Below are 25957 nucleotides of genomic sequence, written 5' to 3'. Positions count from 1 at the left end.
ACTAAACATTCAACGGTGGCTAACTCTGAGAAGAAAGCTGGAGGAAGGGATAGGAGGTAAAAGAGAATTTGTACTTTTTACTCTAAATACTTCTGGGTCATTTGAATATTTTATAACAAGAACAAGTATTTATAAATTTCTTGTGAAAGCTTTGAAAAAACAATCTACAACATGACAGAAAGCACTTGCAAATCATGCACCTGGCAAAGGACTTGCATCCAGAAGATATAGGGAACTCTCAAATTCAAAAGCAAGAAAACGAACAACCCAATGAGAAAAGGACAAACAACATATGCAAAAGGAACATAAGTATATTAAAAGATGCTTAACATCAGTAGTCATTAAGGAAATAGCAAATTAAAAGCACAGTGATTTGCCAGGCATGGTGGCATGCACCTGTGTTCACAGCCACTCAGGAGGCTAAGGCAGGAGGACTGCTTGTGCCCAGAAGTCCAAGGTTGCAGTGAGCTATGACTGTGCCACTGCACTCCTGCCTGGGTTTCTGAAAGAGCAAGACCCCGTCTCAAAAGAAAAAAAAAAAAAAGTGCAGTAAGATACCACTACATGCTTATTTGATTTGAATGATGAAATAATGAAAATGACTGGATATACCAAGTGTTGACAAGGATATGGAACAACAGGAAGCCTTACACATTGTTGATAACAATGCAAAATGGCACACCACTTTGGAAAACAGATTTACCATTTGACCCAGCAATCTACTCATAGAAATTTATACAAGAAAAATGAAAACTTAAGTTCGTACGAAAACTTTGTTCATATAAAATCATGTAAACATTTATAGAAGTCTTATTCATAGTTGCCAAAACCTGGAAACAGCCCAATTATCTTTCAACTGGGGGAAGGATAAACAAATTGTAGTTCATCCATACAATGGAATACTACTCAGCAATAAAAAGGAGGCAACTATTGACACGTGGCAACGTGGATGAATCTCTCAAATGCAATATGGTGAGTGAAATAAGCCAGACTCAAAAAATTACATACTGTATGATTCCATGTATGTTACATGCTGGGAAAGGTAAAACCAGAGGGACAGAGAACAGATGAGTGGTTGCCAGAGAACACATGGACGGACTGAGGACAAAGCAACAGCACAAGGGAATTTTGGGTGGTGATGGAAATTTTCTTATCTTGATGTGTTTGTTTGTGGGTATACAACTCTATGCATTTGTCAAAACTCACAGAACTGTACACTAAATATAGCACATTTTACTGGACATAAATTTTTAAATAACTAATTTTTTTATTTAAAAAGATGGGCTCACGCCTGTAATCTCAACCCTTTGGGAGGCCGAGGCGGGGGGATCACTGAAGGTCAGAAGTTCGAGACCAGCCTGGCCAACATGGTGAAACCTCGTCTCTACTAAAAATACAAAAATTAGCCTGGCATGGTGGTGGGCACCTATAATCCCAGCTACTCGGGAGGTTGAGGCAGAAGAAGCAGCACTTGAACCCGGGAGGCTGAGGTTGCAGTGAGCTGAGATCACACCACTGCACTCCAGCCTGGGCCACAGAGCAAGACTCTGTCTGAAAAAAATAAATCAGTAAAAATAAAAATAAAGATGACATCACCTGGCCAAAACAATTTTAGGACTTTTCTTTTGGAACTGCTTGGAGCAGATTTTTAAAAACTAATATTCGTTATACTAGAAGATACATGTATTAAGTCAGACAAATACAGTATTTCATTTAATTCAAACCCACACCAGTAGATATGAGGTAGGTATGATCCTTTTCCACAGATAAAGAAACTGAGGCTCAGAGAAGTTAAGCAACTTACTGAAGATCTCACAGTAAGTAGGAGGAACCTGAATTTAGATTCTTTCTGCTCAACTTTACAGATGCTCTATTTCTTGACTATCCATCTGGGGCACCAATTTTTAGCTGTTGAAATGTTATCTGTTCTTTGTCAATAGCCAAAAGCCACTTGGAGCTAAATTTTCTGGAAAAAAAAAAAAAAACCTTGGCTGACAACTTTCATTTTCATACAAATATAAAGCATGATTATAAAGAAGCAACGAGGTGGATTTTCTTATTTAGCTTGAGAACTGGTATGAAGGCAAACTGGCATTTGCAAAACACTCTGAGCAATAACAGAATTGTTACCATATCACCTCCCAGGTTTGGCTGCCAAGTTTGCTCATTTGATCACCTGTTTTTGTTTTTAAAGAAAACCTGTTCTAGACTTGGTCTGCAAGACAACTCAAATTCTTACACTAATAAAGAGTTCAAAAAAAGAAAAAAAAAAAGAAAAGAAATAGTTCAACTTAACAGAGCAGCTTTGAATCCTAGGCCAAAAGTAGATCTGTGCCATCTCTAGTGGACACACCTACCTACACACACACACACACACACACACACACACACACACACACGTACACGCATACCCCGAAAAAGCAAATATTTTCAGGACTTCCAGGAAGCTATTATGCTTTTAAGCAAATATTTTAAGGACTTCCAGGAAGCTACTCACACACAGTTTCCTTGTAATTCAAGCCCAACACACTGCCTTTCCCACTGGCTCTCTGAGGTCTTATTTTCAGTCATAAAGACTTGCTGTTGGCATATGAAGAGTCCCACCAGCCTGCAATGATGGAGGTGAAACCTCATGGTCAGCCAGCTCTGCTCCAACCCAACATTTGGGAATGAAGTCTCACACTCAAAGTTCAAAGCCAGACATAGACTTCGGAAGCCAATGCTGGTAAGAGTCATCTCAGCTCTGTCTCTTTTGACATCTGTTCAGAATTGTGAATGTGTTCTCTGGCTGAAAACCTCAAGGTCAAAAAGGTTACTCAGTGTGGAGCCTCTAGGGCTAGTTCCAAGCCCATATCTAGAAGCCTGTGCCTGGGGCAAGTGGTTTCTCTTCTCTGGGCTACAGAGGCAGCACTTACCCATAAAAAAAACTGACCTGGCCTGGAGAAATGACGGAGGTCCTTCCATCCAGTCTCAGTATGCTATGAGTTACTTTTACTTTGGCTCTCAGGCCAAATATACTGCATGCACCTAATATTCAACACAAATATCAAGTTGCAGATTCTAAGCCTCAACACTAAAGAGAAAGAAAACATGGCATCCACTTATTTTCTTTTTCAAAATGATTTAACTCCAATAAAGGAAGACATTTACTAGCAAGTCTTCTAAAATGGTGCCCAGTTAAAGATACAGAGGGATAAAAACTATCTGCCCAGTCACACCAACTGCCCTGTCTCTGCTGGGCAGCAGGGTGAAAAACAAGTGAAGACTGCAGCTACCAGGTCCCCACCAACAACACTCCAAATGAAATTCTGTGGGGCTGGGAGGGAAACCCACAGAGATGATACTCCTGTGAATCATGATTCACATATGAATCATGTCCAAATGCAGGAGAAAGACTGAGTCACGCTTGAGTGCCTGCAGATGGTGCAAAGAGGTGAAGGTAGGGTCACAGATAAGGTTTCTCTGTTTGGATTTTTCTCTGATTTTTTTTTTCCCCTGGGATGGAGTTTCACTCTTATCACCCTGGCTGGAGTGCAATGGCATGATCTTGGCTCACTGCAACCTCCACCTCCCGGGTTCAAGCGATTCTCCTGCCTCAGCCTCCCAAGTCGCTGGGATTACAGGCGCCCGCCACCACGCCCAGCTAATATTTGTATTTTCAGTAGAGGCGGGGTTTCAACATGTTGGTCAGGCTGGTCTCGAACTCCTGACTTCAAGTGATCCACCCGCCTTGGCCTCCCAAAGTGCTGGGATTACAGGCGTCAGACACCGCGCCAGTCTTCTCTGATTTTTTAATGAATGAAATGTTAACCAGTTGTGAATTCAGACCCCACCTTGTCCCAAAACAAGGACTCTATGTGGTAATCTAGCCCATAATGTACCCAACCTACTTTTGATCCAGACAACCGCTCTGTGGGACAGGCAGTCAGGAAGGGGAGGATCTTTATGCCCATTACACAGATGAAGAACCTGAGCCTCAGCTTGAAAGTCCAGTGAGGGGCAGGGGGAATTCTGATCCTGGTTGTTTTCATCACAGCACACTCCCTCATCTAGCACATCCTCATTTAGCAGAGATCACATGTTCAAACCACACTGAAACCATTCACAGTTCAATCCCCCACAAGACGGCTTTCCTTTCATCGTCATTACCCCACATGGGAATTGCTTGAAAGAGAATCCCAAGTGCATGAGGAAGCAGAGCTCCTTGAGGTCGGGAGAGTCAGTGTCTTAGTAGTTTTTGTTTCTTCTCAGGCCTTAGCACAGTGCCTAGAGTTCAATACACTTTTCTCGAATGGGTAAGAGTTTAGTGAGTTTGAAGAAGGCAAAACATGTTCCATGAAAACTGAGGATGGCTTGAAAGGAAAGTCACTTAAAAACCAAGCAAGGAGAAAAAGACTACCCAAGTCTTTGAAAAAAAGGAATCTAGTTAATTGTTTAAGAAGGTTATAAGAAAGAAAAGCATTAGAGAAAAATTAAATCATGCTTCAGTAGAGAGAAAGCTAACTTCAGAAGATTTTTAGCATTCATTCAACTATCTATTATGTGCCAGGAACTGTTTTTTTTTTTTTTTTTTTTTTGAGACGGAGTTTTGCTCTTGTTGCCTAGGCTGGAGTGCAATGGCGTGACCTTGGCTCACTGCAACCTCCGCCTCCCGGGTTCAAAGCGATTCTCCTGCCTCAGCCTCCCAAGTAGCTGGGATTACAGGCATGCGCCACCACGCCTGGCTAATTTTGTATTTTTAGCAGAGATGGCGGTTTCTCCATGTTGGTCAGGCTGGTCTCGAACTCCCGACCTCAGGTGATCCGCCCGCCTTGGCCTCCCAAAGTGCTGGGATTACAGGCGTGAGCCACTGTGCCCAGCCACCAGGAACTGTTTTAAGCTCTGGGAATACAGTCATGAGCAAAACAAAAATCCTGACAGTCATGGAACTTACAATAAAAAAAGTACAAAATTTAAAAATCTAGCATGCCAGGTGGCACAATGGAGAAATATTAGGTAGAGAGGATAGGAGGGGAGTGCTGAAGTAAAATATGGCAATTCAGGCAAGACCTGAAGGAAGCGAGAGAGCGAGCTGTGGGAAGGGTGGCCATGTCATTTATCATCCAATACAGGACACCTCTGAGACTGGAAGGGGACACTATTAATAGTCATATGGGTTCACAAATTCAAACCAGGACTGTCTTGGGCAAATGCAGACATCTGGATCTTAGCCATGATGCTCTCTGGAGTAAAGGCACAGCAGAGGGGCGAACAAGAGGAAGGACCTGCAATTCAGAGTGAGCCTGATCTATCTGGGGAACCTCCAGAGTGAAATGAGAGGGAGAAAGCAGGAGACGAGGACTGAGCGTAACAAGCAGCCACATGACATGAGGGGTCTATCTGCCACCATAATGCCTTGGCTTTTACTCCAAGTGAGCTGGGAAGCCCTTGGAAAATTTTGTGCAGAGAAGTTCATAATCCAAATTCTATTTTATAAAGGTCACTCTGATTTGTTGTGTTGAAAATAAACGATATGGAAGGGCAAGGGAGGAGCCCAAGACCAGGTAACTCGCTACTGCATCCAGGCAAAAGATGATGGCACCTTAGGCCAGGCTAAGACTGATGGAAGTAAGACTATGGATATATCCTGAAGATCTGACATTAATTGGTTTTGCATATGGTTATAACAAATTAATGTCCGATATATGGTTATAAAAATTTGAATAATTTTATCTAATTTCTTTCAGTGGCTCATTAACATAATTGATCAGGTAGCTTAAGGTCAAAGATGGGAGTTCAGTTCCCATGTGGCTATAGATCACCTCTTGATGGCCACTAACCCCTTTGAAAACACATGCTATAGGTTACATAAAGGGACTGGGAAAGGGAAAAGATGACCCCACTTAACAATATCACCCTGACTAGAAAAACAACCCCAGGATCCCACACCATCTATGAGAAGCCAAGCATTCAGAGCATACGTATATAATTAAGCCAGGTGTGGTGGTATGTGCCTGTAGTCCCAACTATTTGGGATGCTGAGGTGAAAGGATCACATCATCCCAAAAGGTTGAGGCTGCAGTGAGATCAAGCCACTGTACTCTATCCTGGACAACAGAGGAAGATCCTGTCTCTTAAAAAAAAAAAAAAAAACTATGTATAATTAAATACTTGCATACCAATTAAATAATAATATTGTGTGTTATTCAAATTCTTCTCACATACGGCAACTTGGTCTTGGAAATATAAATTCATTTGTCCATAAATGTGTTAAACATTGAGTGGAGAAAATGAATAAAGATAAGCTCTTTCAGTCTAGTGAGGAGACAGACATGGAAAACAAGCAGTGAGATCACAACATGCCAAGTTGTACAATTGGGTTATGCATACGGAGCTGTGCGGAAACATGCCTAACACACCCCGGGAGGGCATGGGAAGGAGGGGGAACCACCGGGGCAGGCTTCAAAGAAGAGGTATTGTTGCAGCTGAATAATAAACTAAGTTCATGCCTGCCAGTCAGAATCAGGGGTTAAAGACAGGGAAGAAGCATATTCTATAGAGAGGAACCTATCTATGCAAAGGAACACGAGGACACAGTTCTTTTGAGGAGCACAAGAAATGCCTGGAATACAAAATATGTTATTGTAATGACAACAACAGCTCCTATTTGTTGAGTGCTCACCATGGATGTCCAGCACTGTCCTAAGAATTTATGTGGATTATCACATTTAATAGTCAATCTCCAGCCAGGTGTGGTGGCTCATGCCTGTAATCCCAGCACTTTGGGAGGCTGAGATGGGCAGATCACAGGAGGCCAGTAGTTTGAGACCAGACTGCCCAACATGGCAAGACTCCATCTCTACTAAAAATACAAAAATTAGCTGGGGGTGGTAGTACACACCTGTAATCCCAGCTACTTGGGAGGCTGAGGCAGGGGAATTGCTTGAACCCGGGAGGCAGAGGTTGCAGAGAGCTGAGATCGCACCACTGCACTCCAGCCTGGGAGACAGAGTGAGTCTCTTCCTCAAAAAAGAAAAAAAAAAAATTCAATCTCTTCATGATAAAGACACTGAGATACCCAGAAATTAGTGTAGTAACTGGCCTGAGGGCTTCACTGCTCATGAGGTGGAGTCAGGCCTCATGTCCTAAGATCCTGGAGCCTGCGCTCTTTCCACCTGCAGTACCATGTGGAAGAGGAGGCAGGTGAAGATACAACCACAGGGAGGAGCTGGGTGATGATCAGCACTATAGCCATGAAGAGCCATGAAAGGGTTACATGTGGGAAGGAGTGGCTGATCAGATCTGCATCTGGAAACATCAGTGACAGTATGGACTATGAATCAGAAGGGATGAGAACAGAGCAGGAAGATCATTTTGAAGGCTACTGCAATAATCCTGGCCACAAATGACAGGAGTCTGAACAATGCAGTGAGAACGGAGGTGAGGAGCCAATCAGAAGAAGGAGTGGAAGAGGAAGCATGGGCTGAGGAACAGGGAGACATGAGTTTGGCTGTCAATGCATTAAGGATGAGGTACTTGGGGGCCATCTGAGCAGAGAGGTCCATCAGGTGGACACACCTACAGCTCAGAAGCCAAAGAGAAGGCTGAGCCAGAGCTTCAGGTTGCAGCAAATGCTTTTCCAATTTGAGTCTGCCAGGGAACCCTTAGCTCAGAGGACTCCACAATGGTGTCATGTTAAAATCTTCCACAACCACCCCAAATAAAGATTCTTTGAAACTTCTTTTCCCTAAAATGATTTTAAAATTCTAAAACAAATTTTATGGGAAATCAACTGGTCCACCTGAGCTATCCCAGGCCCCAAACAACTTCCAAGACTACCTGGGTACATTCTGGTGCTGCTACCATCAGAACCTGTAATTCCCCCTGCTTCAGTTAACCAGTGAAACTAGTTCAAGTATAGTCAAATGAGTCCCAGAGTAGCCCTCCTCGGCGCAACTCTACCCCAAACAGCCTGAGAGGCTCAAACTCTGGGTTCCTAAAAATGGCTCCTTGGCATAGCAAAGCAATAGCCCCTCTAAAGGTACTTTCTTTTCTTCCTTTTTTTTTTTTTTTTTGAGACGGAGTCTTGCTCTGTCGCCCAGGCTGGAGTGCAGTGGCACGATCTCGGCTCACTGCAAGCTCCACCTCCCAGGTTCACACCATTCTCCTGCCTCAGCCTCCCAAGTAGCTGGGACTACAGGTGCCCGCCACCACGCCCAGTTATTTTATTTTTTTTTTGTATTTTTTTGGTAGAGACAGGTTTCACTGTGTTAGCCAGGATGGTCTCAATCTCCTGACCTCGTGATCCACCCGCCTTGGTCTCCCAACGTGCTGGGATTACAGGTGTGAGCCACAGTGCCCGGCTAGGTATTTACAAATAATCTGGCAGCCAGAGGTAACATTTTCAGCCCTCTGAGTACAGAGGGGCACAGTGTCTTTCTATCCCTACATTTGTATTCAATGTGTTTTCTCATCTAAAATAAATGAATGCTGGTAAGTAGGTTAACCAAAAAATAAGTGAATGAATTAATAAATGAAATAATAACCATTTAGGGATTCTCTTACTGCCAACCCAGATTCCTAGCCTTAGACATAGGCCTCTAGGAATATTGCTGGATGAACCTACCAATGAATAAAGGAAAATATCATCAACCAATTTGATATAACTTCATTTTCATGACACCTTTCTTTTTTTTTTTCTTTTTGAGACAAAGTCTCGCTCTGTCGCCCAGGCTGGAATGCAGTGGCGCAATCTCAGCTCACTGCAACCTCCGCCTCCCAGGTTCAAGCAATTCTCCTGCCTCAACCTCCCGAGTAGCTTGGATTACAGGCATATGCCACCACACCTGGCTAATTTTTGTATTTTTAGTAGAGATGGGGTTTCACCACGTTGGCCAGGCTGGTCTCGAACTTCTGACCTCAGGTGATCCACCTGGCCTCCCAAAGGGTGAGCATTACAGGCGTGAGCCACTGTGCCCAGCAATGACACCTTTCTTAAGCTAGGTTTTAGAAATTCAAGTTAGCTTATAGAACACTAAAGCACAACGTAGTAGCCCAATTTTTTTAAAGTTTTAATGTTTTCCACACTCATTTTGTACAATATCTCTGTCCTCTGAGGCTCCACAAATGCTGCCCCTACTGATCCAAGCTCATGTTACTCTATCCCTTAAAGGTACTCTGAACAATGTCACGAAAAGAGGACAGCAGCCTGAGTCAGGATACCTGGCTATTGGTTTGAGAGGTTACTTTAATATTTCTACCTCTCTGGACGTTAAGTTGCCCATGTATAAAATATATTTAATAACTTAAATATATTTTGATCACCCACTGGGGTGATAAGACAATAGATATAAAAGTATTTCCAAAAAGCATAAAACCAAAGTATCATACCAAACCAAATTCATACTGCTTCCCCCACCCGCACTGAAACTTCACCTTCTAACTGTCTACCTAACCAAATTCTACCCTTCAAGTCTTTGGTGCGTGCTCACTTCTCTTTTTTTTTTTTTTTTTTTTTTGAGATGGAGTCTGGCTGTGCAGCCCAGGCTGGAGTACAATGGCACAACCTCAGCTCACTGCAACCTCCGCCTCCCAGGTTCATGAGATTCTCCTGCTTCAGCCTTCCCAGTAGCTGGGACTACAGGTGTGCATCACCATGCCTGGCTAATCTTTTTGTGTTTTTGGTAGAGATGGGGGTTTTACCATGTTGGCCAGGCTGGTCTCGAACTCCTGACCTCAAGTGATCCACCCACCTCAGGCTCCCAAAGTGCTAGGATTACAGACATGAGCCACTGCGCCCAGCCCTGGTGCATGCTCACTTCTCTAGGCAACTATGTAATCCTTCTCTTTTCTGGTCTTAAAACTGGACACATACTTCTCCCCTCTGGGTCTCTCCTGTTATGGAGGTGGGTTTGCTCCCCATTGCCCCTGACAACCAAAAGTCCCTCTAGAGCACAGACCACTCCAGCTCTGTCCATGGTGTTGCCCTCAATACTATGCTCCTAAGCTGCCCTCAATCACAACTCTGTGACAGAATGATGATAAATGTGGCTTGACCAACATGTTCTGAGCTAAAAATGTTAACGTGCAGCCCATTTTTAATTCCATGCATTATAGAGCACTGTTTCTAAATAGGTCACCCAAAAGTGTGGCTGAAATGATCTCAAAATAGACATGGCCCTGCTTTTCTGGCCCTTGTGTCATTTCCAGATGTGAGCCTGATCTAAACATCCCAACTCTATTACCTCTTGGATTGGTTACCTGCACCACTGTTGCTAAGCAGGCCGACAGAAAGCTCCTCTGTTCCACTGAAGTTCAAGAAGGACATGCCGTCACCAGGCTGGCGGGAATTGCTGTGCCTGCAGAGAACAGAGCCCAGCCACCTGGCTTAATGTAGATCATCACCTCTTTTTCCTGCTCACCTATATCCCGGGGGTGGGAGGTAGGTTCATAAAAATCAGGCCTGAATATTCAGCCAACTCAAGCTGGCAGCCACTGGAATCCTTATCTTAAGCCACCAGGCCACAGTGCTTAGTTTGTGTGTCAGTGCCGGCTCCTTGTGACCCTGGCACCCCTGCTGCTTTCCCACCACCAAGCTAGACCACCCGCCCTGTCTGCCCTATGCCTCCCTATGCCTCCCTATGCCCTATGCCTCCCTTTTACAAACAAGGATGGGTGTGAGGTGCTTGAATATATGGACCTGAGTTCATCTGGTTAAGAAGGTCACGCCCTCCCCATATCCCTTATCTATCCCCTAGGGTGTCAAGGTGACTGAAAGAGGGGCCAAAGACTGCATTTTGCAAAGTGTTTTCTAAAGCAACAGGAATATTGAGTCCAGGTGTAACCCGGGCTCACGCCTGTCAAGGCTTAAATGACTTTCCTCCTACACTGACTCTCACTGGATGTTCGTAACACATTCAGAGCATTGGTTCAAAAAGAGTTGTTTCTATAAACATAAGCCTTCATTTCCATTGCCCTTAGCATTAACTTATTCTAAACTCAACAGTGGGATTTATTTCTGAATGACCAAAATCACAAAAGTCAGAGAGGTTGCCCAAAACACACAGCATGAATCTCCTGTCTCAGCATTCCAAATCCAAAGAATTTCCTCTCTTGGATTCACCTTTGACTGAGGTTTAGAAAAACCCACGTTTGAGGTTTACAAAGTGTGTTCTGGATTCAAAATAAACCTAAAACAGGGCCTAGGTAACATCTCAGGCAAAAATGTCAGGATGTTTGCTTTGCCCTTCACCAACTGAAGGGAATGCCACTGGCCAACAAAGGAAGGCCCTGACCTCATACTGTCTTTTCAAGTCTTCTAAACAACATTTTGTCAATAGTCTGTTCTGCACATTGTCCTGGGTGCTGGAGAGTGTTCTCAGGTTACCTTCCAGAGCCCTGTGCACATCCTCACCTTCCAGCAGCTTCATGATATGCTAACTCCAGCAGCTCTGCAGAGGAGTGAGTTGGATCCCTCTGCCCGCTGCCTTGTAGCTCCGCCATATTCTGTCGGGTCTGGTGGTGGATCTGGATGGCTTCTCCGGATGGCCCTACCCAGATAAAGAACCACTGAGCATCATTCCCACCTGATAGCTAGTGCTGTGCACTTAACTATACTCTCCCTTCTTTCCAGCTACTGGGATACAGATGTTGGTGAGATTGAAAGAAGAACACACCACAGAGGGTGGCTCCCAAAGGACATCTGCTCTTCCAAGCAGGACCCATCCTACTAAGGAGCCTCACCTTTATCATCCTGTCTAATCTGTTAAGAATATTTTAGGATATTCTGCCTCAGGTGTGTCAACTGAATAGCCACAGTGAAATATACAAGTATAGGAGGCATGGCCCCTTGCCAGGAGGGCTAACACAAACTCAGTAAGAGGGAAATACAAGTGAAACACCAAATGATTCTGTTAATACCTAGGAGAGTAACAACTGTGACTCTAAGAAGCAGAAGATGTTTAAGTGCAAAAAAGGCAGAGTAGGAAACAAATTACAATTAGTCAAGTCTACAAAATGAGGCTTCCTGGGAAAGGAGAACTTGTAGAGCTAAGTGTTCAACAAAGTTAACAGCGATTGAAGGAAGAGGGCATCTGGGTAGATGAAATGATACCTGTGAAATCCCAAACCTGAAAGAGGCAAAACGTGCAGGAGACCACAAGATTAGCCAAGAAGGAAGAGAGCCTCTGAGGATAGGAATGAGGAAGACAGGGAACCCTGATGAAGGAGGGCCTTGGCTACTGAAAGGCCAGCTAAACAGGAGGAAGAAGCGAAGCAAACTGTTTGCAGAATATGGTTCCAATAAAGTGTACATGAAGAGTGGGAGGAGGAGAAGCACAGAAGCATGAAAAGATGAAGGTCACTGAAGAAACACCAAGAGTTCTAAGTGACCTGGAAGGGAACCAGTGGAGACAATAATGGAGGGGAAAGGACACAGAAAGAAACAAGTAGTGTGACTGATTATAGCAGAGATAAGGGGGCAGAACGGGGTTTAGGCATGACCCCCCAGTTACAGCCAAATGATTCAGATCTATTTCTCACTTATTTAACTTTTAAATATTAAAGGCAAGTACAAAAGAAAATAGGCATTTCCAGGTATTCAGCAGGATGGTTTCCATGAAAAAAATAAAATAAAAATTTGGCCAGGCACGGTGACTCACGCCTGTAATGCCAGCACACTGGGAAGCCGGGGTGGGTGGACTGCTTGAGATCAGGAGTTTGAGACCAGCCTGACCAACATGGTGAAACCCCGTCTCTACTAGAAATACAAAAATTAGCCAGGTGTGGTGATGTATGCCTGTAATCCCAGCTACTTGGGAGGCTGAGGCAGAAGAATTGTTTGAACCCAAAAGGCAGAGGTTGCAGTTATCTGAGATCACGCCACTGTACTCCAGCCTACGTAACAGAGTGAGACACTGTCTCACACACACACACACACAAAATCCTGGAGTTTAATGCATTTGTTCCTTTCCAGCTCAATAAGAGCCCATTAAGCTAAAGTTTAATTTTAGCCACAGCTTGAGACAATCTTACTGTCATCTTCTTGAGAACAGAATATAGATAAAAAAGAATGGACTAGGAAAAAGTGAATTCAGGGGAAAATTTTTTTTCAGTTGTCAGAGAGACCTAACAGAAAACAAAACAACATAACTCCTTGTAACCAAGACAGGATATCAATATCCAAGAGATCTAAGAGAAGAAGGAATGAACAAGAATGAGGGACATCTGACTTAGGAAAGAAAGCAGGTGGCAATGCATAGTTCCTCTCAAATAGAAACAAAGGGCCGGATGCGGTGGCTCACATCTATAATCCCAGCACTCTGGGAGGTTAAGGTGGGCAGATTGCTTGTGTCCAGGAGTTCAAGACCAGCCTAGGCAACATGGTGAAACCCTGTCTCTACTAAAAATACAAAAAACTAGCCAGGCCTGGTGGCACGTACCTACAGTCCCAGCTACTTGGGAGGCTGAGGTGGGAGAATCACCTGAGCCCTGAAGGTTGAGGCTGCAGTGAGCTGAGACTGCACCACTGCACTCCAGCCTAGGCAACTAGAGTGAGACCCTGTCTCAAAAGAAAAAAAAAAAAAAAAGGGCAGAAACAAACAAAAAAGCCCTCAGGTTTATACAGCTAATTAGTTACAAAGCCTATTCCCAAGTGCATCTTCAAGGATCTTTACAAGAACCCCTGGGATGGCCAAAGTGGGCATGGTTATCCCATCTTACAGGTGGAGCAACAGAGGCACCTGACCAAGGACACATGGGTGACCGACACTGAGGACCAGGGCTAGGAGCTCCTAGTCCAAGGCTCTCTCTTAAGCAACCAACTTACCCACAGGAAAAGTGTGCATCCAGCGCCTTCTGTTGGACGTAAGCTTCATGGGCATCCGAGAGGGAGCGAAGGGGTTAATCAGTGCTCTCTGGGGCGTGTATCCACCAGGTCGAACATGCAGCATGGATTCTGCACTGCCAACGTGAAACCTCCCTGGTGCACTGGAGTCTCGCTGTGGTGGCTCCATCATGTTCTCCAGGACATCTGCCAGTTATCATGGAGTTGAGTCACAAAGAAAAACCACAGAACCACAGTGAAACCAGAGCTAGGTAGAATGATAAACCAAGGCTGACAAGAATCTTGGGCATTATAAATGTCAGGGAGTGAGAGAAATGAGCAAAACTGTCAAACTATAAAGAAATGAAATATGTTTGCATTTGTTTGCTTTTAAATACTTGGGAGAAGGGAGTTTTGGTTCTAAATTACTGGCAAAATGAAGTCACAACCAAATCTGATGGGAAGGACACTGCCTGAAGATCCTGAACTTTGAGCTGGAAGCAATGACTGAATGATGGGACTTGAGTTGTCTCCCTTGGGAAAGGAACGAGTATATTCTCTAAGAGGGAGGAACAATAAAAATAGCTATGTGGTCACCAGAAGGGCAGATCTTGGCAGAGCTAGTCAATGTCTTCACTATAAACCCATTTGATTTTCCTACTGGACACAAGACTATAGTTCCCAGACCCTTTGCAATAAAGCCAAATGACTTAGTTCTGGCCAGGTAGAAATTATATGCTTCAAATCCAGGCCTGGACCACAATGATCTCCACAAATGATCTGCATTCTTTTTCCCTTTGTGGCAACCCAGGAGACCAATGTTGATAATCATGGCATCCCAGGATGGAAGGAACCTGAGTTCCTGAATGGACTGAGTGGATCAGTAGCCCCTCCACTGACTTAGTGGGCTGGGACATGAGTAAGCAATAAAATGTTATTATGCTAAAAAAATTACTGAGAAAAAAATAACGAAGAAATGGATGCCTCCAGCCTTGACCAGGCAAGGAGATGGTATGATATTTAGACACCACCTGTCTGGCGCAATGGTAGACAGGTCCCATTATGGAGACAGAGACAGCATGCCTGAGTGGATCAAAGAACTGAAATCCACAACCAACTCTTCTTGTGTGTATTCCATGTTCATTAAGCAACCACCCAGATGAAAAAGTGGGTCCAGCAGATGCAAACTCCAAGGAATTTGTCTTGGCCATCATTATCTACCCAATGCCTAGCACAGAACCTCATACACTGTAATACTGTATTTCATTCCTCAAGTTGCTTTGCAGGAAAGAAGAGAATGTTCAGATTTCTGTGAAAGTTTTACTGTTCATTGTAAATTAATGAATTGATGCTCTAACTTACAAAATAAAAAAGAACATAGTCTAGTTAGTTATTAAGGAAATAAAAGAGAAAAACCTAGTAAAAAAAAAAAGATGAGTACAGGCCAGGTACAGTAGCTTATTCCTGTAATCCCAGCACTTTGGGAGACCAAGGTGGAAGGATCACTTGAGCCCAGGAGTTCGAGACCAGCCTGGGCAACAGATTGAGACCGTCCCTACAAAAACTTTAAAAACTAGCCGGGTGTGGTGGTGCACACCTGTAGTCCCAGCTATTTGGGAGGCTGAAGTGGGAGGATCACGTGAGCCCAGGAGGTTGAGGCTGTAGTGAGCCAATATTGTACCACTGCACTACAGCCTGGGCAACAGAGTGAGAACCTGTCTCAAAACAAACAAATAAAAGAAACCACCCATGAAACTGCTCAGGCCATCAAGGGTATGCATATATAAAAAGCCACCAAGTATATGAAAGATGTCACTTTGGCCAGGCAAGGTGGCTCACGCCCGTAATCCCAGCACTTTGGGAGGCTGAGGTGGGCAGATCACCTGAGGTCAGGAGTTCGAGACCAGCCTGACCAACATGGTGAAACCCCATCTCTACTAAAAATACAAAAATTAGCCAGGCATGGTGGCAGGCACCTGTGATCACAGCTACTCGGGAGGCTGAGGCAAGAGAATTGCTTGAACCCGGGAGGCAGAGGTTGCAGTGAGCCAAGATCACGCCATTGCACTCCAGCCTGGGGGACAAGAGTGAAACTCCATCACAAAAAAAAAAGAAAGAAAGAAAGAAAGAAATATGTCACTTTACAGAAACAATGTGTACCATTTCCACATTACAATGATGGAGATAGTAGGTGGTCCCAGGCCACACAGCACGGCTGCACACGGGGTCAGTGGCCAAAAAAGAGTACTGAATTATTGCTACATATGCTTAAAAATGCACAGTCATGCCGAACTTAAGGGTTCAGGTGCAGATCCTCTGGTCATTGAGCATGTCCAGGTGAACAAAGCACCCAAGATGTGCTGCCTGATGTAAAGAGCTCATGGTCAGATTAACCCATACATGAGCTCCCCCTGCGAAACCAAGATGATCCTCATGGAAAAGGAATAAATTATTCCTAAACCAGAAGAGGACATTGCACAGAAGAAAAAGATATCCCAAGGCCAGGCATGGTGGCTCACGCCTGTAATCCCAGCACTTTGGGAGGCCGAGGTGGGTGGATCATTGGAGGCCAGGAGTTTGAGACCAGCCTGGCCAACACGGCAAAACCCCATCTCTACTAAAAAAACAAAAATTAGCTGGTGTGGTGGTGTGTGCCTGTAATCCCAGCTACTTGGGAGGCTAAGGCAAGAGAATCACTTGAACCCAGGAGGCAGAGGTTGCAGTGAGCTGAGATCATGCCACTGTACCCTAGCCCGGGCAACAGAGCAAGACTCTGTCTCAGAAAAAAAGAAAAGAAAAAAAAAGAAAAGAAAGAAACTGAAGAAACAAAAACTGATAGTATGGGAATAAATTCGGTACAAAATCAATGCAAATAAAAGTTAAAAAAAAACAGGTAAGTGAAAAAAAAAGTTTTTTGTTTTTTTTTTTTTGAGGTGGAGTCTCCCTCTGTCACCCAGGCTGGAGTGCAGTGGTGGAATCTCGGCTCACTGCAACTACGCCTGCCAGGTTCAAGTGATTCTCCTGCCTCAGCCTCCTGAGTAGCTGGGATTACAGGCACCCGCCACCACACCTAGCTAATTTTTGTATTTTGAGTAGAGACGGCGTTTCACCATGTTGACCAGGCTGGTCTCAAACTTCTGGCCTCAAGTGATCCACCCGCCTTGGCCTCCCAAAGTGCTGGAATTACAGGTGTGAGCCACTGCGCCCGACCGGTAAATGAGAAACTAAAATGCAACATTAAGACAGAGGTTGTTTTATATATGGCACAAATGGAAATCATAAGGAAATAAACCCTTTTGACCCTAGGCCTAAGAAAAGCTTTCCATTAACATATGGAAAGGCATACAGTTAAATGATGGATGAAGAAAGGCTAAACAAAAAATAGTATAATAGAGGCAGGGTGCGGTAACATTGGTTCATGCCTGTAATCTCAGCACTTTTGGAGGCCAATGGGTGGATCCCTCGAGTCCAGGAGTTCAAGACCAGCCTGGGAATGGTAAAACCCCACCTCTACAAAAAAAAATATGATAATCAGCTGGGTGTGGTGGCATGCTATAGTCCCAGTTACTTGGGAGGCAGAAGTGGGAGGATCAATTGAGTCCAGGAGTTCAAGGCCGCACTGAGGTGAGCTGTGATTGCATCACTGCACTTCCCCACCTCTACAAAAAAAAATATGATAATCAGCTGGGTGTGGTGGCATGCTATAGTCCCAGTTACTTGGGAGGCAGAGGTGGGAGGATCGATTGAGTCCAGGAGTTCAAGGCCGCACTGAGGTGAGCTGTGATTGCATCACTGCACTTTATCCTAGGTGCTCTGTCACCAAAAAAAAAAAAAAAAAAAAAAGAAGTATAATATATACATAGCTAACAGCTAAAGTGATTTGTACCTACTGCACTGGCAAAGAAATCATTAAGATGTGGGATTTACACCCCACCTCTGACCAATCCTCCCACCTCCAGTCACCCACTATATTAAGAAAGATGTCCCTGGCTCTGTCTGTGCTTCAGCACTCTTACCTCGAGTGCTGGTGTATCCCAAGGAGCTGCTGACTTCATACTGGTGCAGGTGGGGGTGTGGGATCATCAGGATGTTGGCACTCTTGCCTAGGGAGCTGTCGTCAGAAGCCTGGCTCCTCACTTCCTCAGTGGGCAGTGTGCGGCTTGGTAGGGAAGGGCTGGATGAAACATCACAGGAGCTGGCACTCTTTCGACTGTGACTCTCTCGCTCTCGCACAGATCTGCCAGGCAAGAGACAAAAAGTTACCATCAAGCGAGGGATGCTGTCCTACCTTGAGTTAAAACTAAAACCCATCACCAGCCCAAGCCACATGGAACCCAATAACAAAAATCCCCAGTGTGATCTACAAGTGGGAAACCTGTATGCGGTACTTCACCCTTAACAGCTTGAGATGTTATATAAGAGAGGGGGGAAATGACAGACATTATGCAGCCAAAGTCCTAGGATCATAGTTGTAAAGAAAGGACTGCTCCAGGCTGACCCCACCTAATCCCACTGATTAATCTCTCATCACTAAAAACAGAATGAGAAGAGAGGTATGATGTGATGTGGGAGAAAGAACATAGTGCCCAAGAAGTCTACTTGCCCTCAAATTTGAATCTAAATCTAATCAAGCTTCCAGAGATAATTGCCAGTTTACAGGGAATCTGCAGAATAGAGGAAAACTGAAACACTACAAGGCAACAATCAGCCAAATGTAGAAAGCAAGACATTCTACTGTCACACACACACACAAAAGGCATTATAACCAAATGCAAAAAGTGGATCTTGTTTAGGTCCCATTTCAAACTAACTGCAAAAGCACATTTTTGAGGCAATTCAAAAAACTGACTATGCACTGGCTATTAGAGGGCATTTAGGGATTAGTGTTAATTTTGTTACCAATGATAATGGTACCGTGATGGGTTTTCTTTTAGTTCTTATTTGTTGAAACATATACTAATCAGCTTTGTGCCAGGCTGGGTGACACTAAATAAATAAATAACATGTAAAAAAAGAAAGAAACTTACGCTGAAGTATGTATTATTGAAAAAAAATAGAGGCTGCCTGGGGTTTGTTTTGTTTGTTTGTTTTTGTGAGACGGAGTCTCACTCTGTCACCCAGACTGGAGTGCAGTGGCATGATCTCAGCTCACTGCAGCCTCCACATCCTGGGTTCAAGTGATTTTCCTGCCTCAGCCTCCCAAGTAGCTGAGATTACAGACGCCCACCACCACGCCTGGGTACTTTTTTCGTATTTTTAGTAGAGACGGGGTTTCACCACGTTGGTCAGCCTGGTCTCAAACTCCTGAACTCAAGTGATCCACCTGCCTTGGCCTCCCAAAGTGCTGGGATTACAGGTGTGAGCCACTGTGCCCGGCCAATCCTGGGATTTGTTTTTAAAATATTCCATCCAAAATTTAAACGTGGGAGAGGTCATGAAACAAGGCTGACAACATGGTGATAACTGTTCATGATACTATTCTCTATTTGAGCACGTCTGAACATTTCCTAATAAAAGTTTATATATGCATATATATATATATATATATAGCCTTATTAAAACATAAAATTCCCTAAGGGGAAAACCTCTAAAAGCAACAGGAAGAAGGATCAAAAAGAAAGAAGCCCTATAGAGAAGCAAAAGCTCAGAACGAAAAAGCAAGCCCACCAACGGGGCTGCCCTTCTGGCATCAGAGCTGCTCCCTTTCCTCCTGGAAGGATTTTTTTAGTAAGAGCTTAAACGGAGCCTGAAAACAGATTCCAAGTGCTGACTACATGTTTGTTCTTTCCACAGTAAATATTTAAACACCAGTATACGCTTAGCCATGTGTGAAGGTAGCACCAATTAAGACACAATTTGTGCCTTCAGAGACCACACAACCTGGGTACCACCAGGTCTTGTCATCTTTAATTAGAAAAAGAAAATCAATCTTGAACTATGAGAGCATTTTTAAAGACTACAAAGAAAAGCCCCTAAGTAGCTCTTACTGAGCCCCTAAGCAGCATCCACACATAGGAGAGAGGCTGCTGACAGCACTTAATTCTGAGCTCTAAGCCTTCTCAGGTAGGACTGGATGAGAGAAAAGGGCAGAAAACAATCATGTGGTCACTCTAAGTTCATTTGCCACAAAATTAAGAGACATAATATTCTTCCACTCAGTTGCGCTTAAAGCTACAGAGTTAAGAAATCTGGCGGGGGCAGTGGCTCACACCTATAATCCTAGCACTTTTGGAGGCCAAGGTGGGTGGATCACCTGGGGTCGGGAGTTCGAGACCAGCCTGACCAACACTGAGAAACCCCGTCTCTACTAAAAATACAAAATTAGCCAGGCGTGGAGGCGCATGTTTGTAATCCCAGCTACTCGGGAGGCTGAGGCACAAGACTTGCTTGAACCTGGGAGGCGGAGGTTGTGGTGAGCTGAGATTACACCATTGCACTCCAGCCTGGGCAACAAGAGCAAAACTCCAACTCAAAAAAAAAAAAAAAGAAAGAAATCTGGAAAATTGGCCGGGCGCGGTGGCTCACGCCTGTAATCCCACCACTTTGGGAGGCTGAGGTGTGCGTATCACGAGATCAGGAGATCGAGACCATCCTGGCTAACACGGTGAAACCCCGTCTCTACTAAAAATACAAAAAATTAGCTGGGCGTGGTGGTGGGCGCCTGTAGTCCCAGCTACTCGGGAGGCTGAGGCAGAAGAATGGTGCGAAGCTGGGAGGCAGAGCTTGCAGTGAGCCGAGATCGCGCCACTACACTCCAGCCTGGGCAACAGAGCGAGACTCTGTCTCAAAAAAAAAAAAAAAAAAAAAAGAAATATGGAAAATTGATTCACAGTATTTGGTACACAGGGAAAAAAATATAAGCTAGAGCTGTTTCACACATTCACAAAAAAAGAAAGTCAACATAAATAATATAAACATAAGCATAAAATCCAAGATGAGGCCGGGTGCGGTGGCTCATTCTGTAACCCCAGCACTTTGGGAGGCCAAGGCGGGTGTGGGCCACTTGAAGTCAGGAGTTTGAGACCAGCCTGGCCAACACAGTGAAACCCTGTCTCTACTAAAAAATATAAAAATTAGCCGAGTGTGGTGGTGCATGCCTGTAGTCCCAGTTACTTGGGAGGCTGAGGCATGAGAATTGCTTGAACCCAGGAGGCAGAGGCTGCAGTGAGCCGAGATTGCAGCACTGCACTCCAGCCTAGGAGACAGGGCAAGACGCCATCTCGAAAAAAAAAGAAAAAAAAAATTCCGCCAAGACTATAAAGTATTTGAAGAAAATATGAAATACACATCTGTAACTCTGGGGTAGAGAGTGCTTTCTTACACAAGACCCACAAATGAATAGATGAGTAGATCTAACTACATCACAATTAAAAACTACTACATGGCTGAGTGCAGTGGCTCATGCCTATAATCTCAGCACTTTTGGAGACTAAGGCGGGAGGATGGCTTCAGCCAGGAGTTTGAGACCAGCCTGGCAATATGTGAGACCTCATCTCTACAAAAAATTAAAAACTAGCTGGACATGATGGTGCATGCCTGTAGTCTCAGCTACTTGGGAGGCAGAGGCAAGAGGATCACTTGAGCCCAGGAGGCAGAGGTTACAGTGAGCTGTCAACGTGACACTGCACTACAGCCTGGGTGACAGAAGGAGATCCTGTCTCAAAAAAAAAAAAAACAACTACCATATGACCAAAACACCACAGAGCAAATTTTTAAAAGCAGGACTTAAAGAAAGAAAAGTTCATGCCCACTCAGAATAATAAACTTAAACGCTGTGTCCAAGGATAGAGCCAGCCCAGTGAGAGGAAGATTCTGGAATTTGTGAATTGTTTCCCTTGGCTCAGAAAAGCATAAGAACCAGCCAGGCATGGTGGCTCACACCTGTAATCCCAGCACTTAGGGAGGCCGAGGCAGGAGGATCACTTGGGGCCAGAAGTTCAAGACCAGCCTGGCCACCATGGCGAAACCCCATCTCTACAAAAAACACAAATATTAGCTGGACGTGGTGGCACGTGCCTTTAATCCCAGCTACTCAGGAGGCTGAGGCAGGAGAATCGCTTGAACCCAGGAGGCGGAAGTTGCAGTGAGCAGAGATTGTGTCATTGCACTCCAGCCTGGGTGACAGAGTGAGACTCCGTCTCAAAAAACAAAACAAGCCAGGCACAGTGGCTCACGCCTCTAATCCTAGCATTTTGGGAGGTCGAGGCGGGCAGATCACCTGAGGTCGGGAGTTCGAGACCAGCCTGACCAACATGGAAAAACCCCATCTCTACTAAAAATACAAAATTAGCCAGGCGTGATGGCGCATGCCTGTAATCCCAGCAACTTGTGAGGCTGAGGCAGGAGAACCGCTTGAACCCAGGAGGTCAAGGTTGCAGTGAGCCGAGATCACACCATTGCACTCAAGCCTGGGCAACAAGAGCGAAACTCCATCTCAAAAAAACAAAACAAAACAAACAAAAAACCAAAACGAAACAAAACAAAACAAAACAAGATTTTCAAGGTTGCTCTCTTAGAGGTCACTACTGAACTTCAGGTTTTCCTACACAATTTTTATATGCACCCCCAAGTGAATCTGGCAGAAAACCTGCAGGTGGTGAGGCACTGGGCCCGGGATGGGCCGGGCAGCCTGAACACTTGAGCGTCATAGGCGTCATAATCTACTTGGATGGGAAGGGCGTTCTCAGATTCTTTTGGACTCCCGAGAGCTGAAATACACAAATAATATAAATTGTCATCAAATACATTTCAAACACATGCCTGAGAGCTGAAATACACAAATAATATAAATTGTCATCCAAATACATTTCAAACAGAGGCCTTCAGATAATCTTCACCAAAATCTGCAAGGCACAGGTGATCACCCTCTCCCCTTGAAAAAATGGGATAACGACCTATTCATCAAGTAGAGACTAAATGACGTATATGTCAAAGCAACATAGAAATAGTATAGCACTAAATAAAGGCAAGCTGTGGGTAGCATTTCATCCTTTTGTGACCCTTCTTAAAATAAATCATCTTAATATGTTTAGTAGTTTAAAACTTTCTACGTGATCCCTACAAATGGCCTATGGAAAAGAAAAACAAGGTTTTTTCAATTTGCAGATGGCGGGAAAAAATACAAGGTAATTAAGGGATCCTGCATACATGACACAAAGGGAACTCAGGTCTCCTGACTTTTCCATAAACTTTTTATGGCACTTCACATAGTTTTGTTGTCATGGGTTAGCTGATGCTCTTTTTTTTTGAGACAGAGTCTTGCTCTGTCACCCAGCCTGGAGTGCAATGGCATGATCTCGGCTCACTGCAACCTCTGCCTCCCGGGTTCAAGTGATTCTCCTGCCTCAGCCTCCCGAGTAGCTGGGATTACAGGCACCCACCATCACACCCAGCTAATTTTTTTTGTATTTTTGTAGAGACAGGGTTTCACCATGTTGGCAAGGCTGGTCTTGAACTCCTGACCTCAGGTGATCCACCAACCTTGGCCTCCCAAAGTGCTGGGATTATAGGCGTGAGCCACTGCACCCAGCCAGCTGACTCTCTTTTTAAAAGCAAGAAAAAAAATCTCAAAAAATACTCACATGTATCACGGCCATTTTTTGCTTTCTCAGAGGCGGGCTGAAAAATTAAATAGATAATTAATCACTCCTTCCTTCGCTAGAAAAGAACTTATCACAAGGCACAGTATATATGTGCTGCTCCCAGGGAAGACAGCCTGTAACTGACAGAAAGGCAGGAGCTAACATCTGACACCTACCTACCACGGTCCTTTATTCCCGTATCACATCTTGTTGCCTCTCACAAACCTGTCCACTGGGGGAATGGACTGCCCCTTACAAGTGGGGATATTCAATTGCAGAGAGAATAAGGGACTTTACCCAAAGCCACACATTCAGCAGGTGGCAGAGCCAAAATTCAAGACCAGATCTTTAGATTCTTGGTCAATCCACTGTTGTGTTTGTCCCACCTGACCCAAATGCTGCATGCCTCCCCCTTCACTACGGTGCTGTCACCTGTCTGCCTACACCTACCAGAGCTGAGCACTCTGTATATCACCCAATTTGCTGAAATGAAGTACAAGGGTAGAGGAAAAAAAACTAATAGAGCTATCACTTTTTACATTTTCTTAAAGATCTTTTTCAGATTAAATAAATAAATAAAGGCCAGGCACAGTGGTTCACGCCTGTAATCCCAGCACCTTGGGAGCCCAAGGCAGGAGGATTGCTTGGGCCCAGGAGTTTGAGACTAGCCTGAGCAACACAGTAAGACCCCATCTCTATTTTTATATATATATATTTAATCTTTCAGGACCCTGAAAACTTTCACAACAATACTAACTCTTGCTTCTTTAAAATGATCATGGTAGCCGAGTACAAAGGCTCATGCCTGTAATCCCAGCACTTTGGGAAGCCGAGACAGGTAGATCACCTGAGGTTGTCAGGAGTACCAGCCTGGCCAACATGGTGAAACCCCATCTCTACTAAAAATACAAAAATTAGCTGGGCATGGTGGCTCACACCTGTAATCCCAGCACTTTGGGAGGCCAAGATGGATCACCTGAGGTCAGGAGTTCAAGACCAGCCTGGCCAACATGGTGAAACCTCGTCTCTACTAAAAACACAAAAAATTAGCTGGGCGTGGTGGCAGGCACCTGTAATCCCAGCTTCTCTGGAGGCTGAGGCAGGAGAATCACGTGAACCCAGGAGATGGAGGTTGCAGTGAGCCGAGATTGTGCCATTGCACTCCAGCCTGGGAGACAGAGTGAAACTCTATCTCAAAAAAATAAAAAATAATACAAAAATTAGCTGGACATGGTGGCGCACACCTGTAATCCCAGCTACTTGGGAGGCTGAGAGAGGAGAATCACTTGAACCCTGGAGGCAGAGGTTACAGTGAGCCAAGATCGCACCACTGCACTCCAGCCTGGGCCACAGAGAGAGAGACTCCATCTCAAAAAAAAAAAAAAAAAATTAGGCATGGTGGCATGTGCCTGTAGTCCTAGCTATTGGGGAGGCTGGGGCACGAAAACTGATTGAACCCAGAAGGCAGAGGTTGCAGTGAGCCGAGATCCCACCACTACACTGGGCATGACAGAGCGAGACTCTGTCTCAAAAAAAAAATAAAATAATCATGGTGCAGAGAAGTTTTTCCATGTTCTACTTTGCTGAGAATGCTTGTGGTGAAGGCAAGAGAGGCCCTTTCTATACAGAATCCCATCTCCTAGCACTTCACTATCTGACATGGCTTATGTCAGGAGTCCTCAGATTGCTCCAAATTAGTATTTCCCTTATTAGAAGAGTAACATTAACAGCCCTCCCCCCTAAAAAAAGAAAAGGGAATAAGAGGCCCTGACACACAGCCACAAATGGAGCAACCCTCAGTGAATTCAGCTCTACTAGGAAAGGGCAGAGGGGTGAGAGCACTCGGGTGTGGGGCCTGCAAACATAACAGCCTGCTTTTCTTCTCACAGTACATCAAAACCACTTTTTCGAGTTCTGGCCGGGTGCAGTGGCTCACGCCTATAATCCCAGCACTTTGGGAGGCTGAGGCGGGTGGGTCACTTGAAATCAAGAGTTTGAGACAACCCTGGCCAACATGTGAAACCCTGTCTCCACTAAAAATACAAAAATTAGGCTGGGTGTGGTGGCGGGTGCCTGTAATCCCAGCTACTCAGGAGGCTAGGGCACAGGAATTGCTTGAACCTGGGAGGCAGAAGTTGCAGTAAGCCAAGATCACGCCACTGCACTCCAGCTTGGGAGACAGAGCAAGATTCCATCTCAAAAAAACAAACAACGACAACAACAAACACTTGTTAAAATTCTTAAAACTTGCATTTTTATCAGTTGCAAATATATTCCATCAAGTGGATATTTCATATTTCAGCCATTGATCTATTGTTTTCAACTTCTCACAATTATAAATAAAACTAAACCCAGATGTATTTGCATATTATCACTTCAATTATTTCCTTACATCGCATGCCCCAAAATGGAAGTGCCTGGTTCAAATAGCATAAACATTTGCTCTCAATACACATGGCTGAAATGCTTTGCAAAAGTATGGTACACCAACCAGGTACTCAAGTGTCAATTTCACCACACTTTTTGTAGCATGTGATATAATTATTAATATATTTTAAACCTCTTTGGAAAGAAG

The 25957-nt window shown here is 44.4% G+C and overlaps 1 protein-coding gene and 1 pseudogene across 41 annotated transcripts in view, besides 1 other annotated feature; one reads left to right on the top strand and one right to left on the bottom strand.

Moving 5' to 3' along the window:
* The window catches only part of DEPDC5 (DEP domain containing 5, GATOR1 subcomplex subunit), a 154066-nt gene that overhangs the window by 75004 nt on the left and 53105 nt on the right, over positions 1-25957 (bottom strand). For 24 of the 41 annotated variants that reach the window (NR_157126.2, NR_157125.2, NR_146296.2 and 21 more), the window contains 6 exons: positions 23383-23419; positions 22389-22509; positions 17818-18038; positions 13805-14008; positions 11393-11528; positions 10240-10337 (listed from right to left, as the gene is read on the bottom strand). Coding sequence is in view for 33 of the 41 variants with exons in the window: in NM_001364318.2 (NP_001351247.1) it covers positions 10240-10337; positions 11393-11528; positions 13805-14008; positions 17818-18038; positions 22389-22509; positions 23383-23419 (817 nt within the window). In the remaining 8 variants the exon portion in view is untranslated. Of the gene's footprint in view, positions 1-1804; positions 1967-10239; positions 10338-11392; positions 11529-13804; positions 14009-17038; positions 17615-17817; positions 18039-22388; positions 22510-23382; positions 23420-25957 lie in introns of those variants that run through there. The other 17 variants (NR_110988.2, XM_047441625.1, XM_047441627.1 and 14 more) reach the window with 5 other exon arrangements.
* Positions 2794-3993: an enhancer, noted in NCBI's record as "P300/CBP strongly-dependent group 1 enhancer chr22:32225023-32226222 (GRCh37/hg19 assembly coordinates)". NCBI's record gives its function as "activates an origin of replication core promoter dependent on BRD2, BRD4, P300/CBP, MED14 and CDK7 cofactors, with strong dependence on P300/CBP, by STARR-seq in HCT116 cells {active_cell/tissue: HCT116}" and the evidence as "EXISTENCE:reporter gene assay evidence [ECO:0000049][PMID:35650434]".
* RPL17P52 (ibosomal protein L17 pseudogene 52) lies at positions 15539-16651 on the top strand (annotated as a pseudogene).

This window comes from Homo sapiens, chromosome 22, assembly GCF_000001405.40.
Source record: "Homo sapiens chromosome 22, GRCh38.p14 Primary Assembly".
Lineage (NCBI taxonomy): Eukaryota > Metazoa > Chordata > Mammalia > Primates > Hominidae > Homo > Homo sapiens.
Note: the sequence above shows the minus strand (reverse complement) of the source record. Positions and strands in the feature narration are given on the sequence as shown.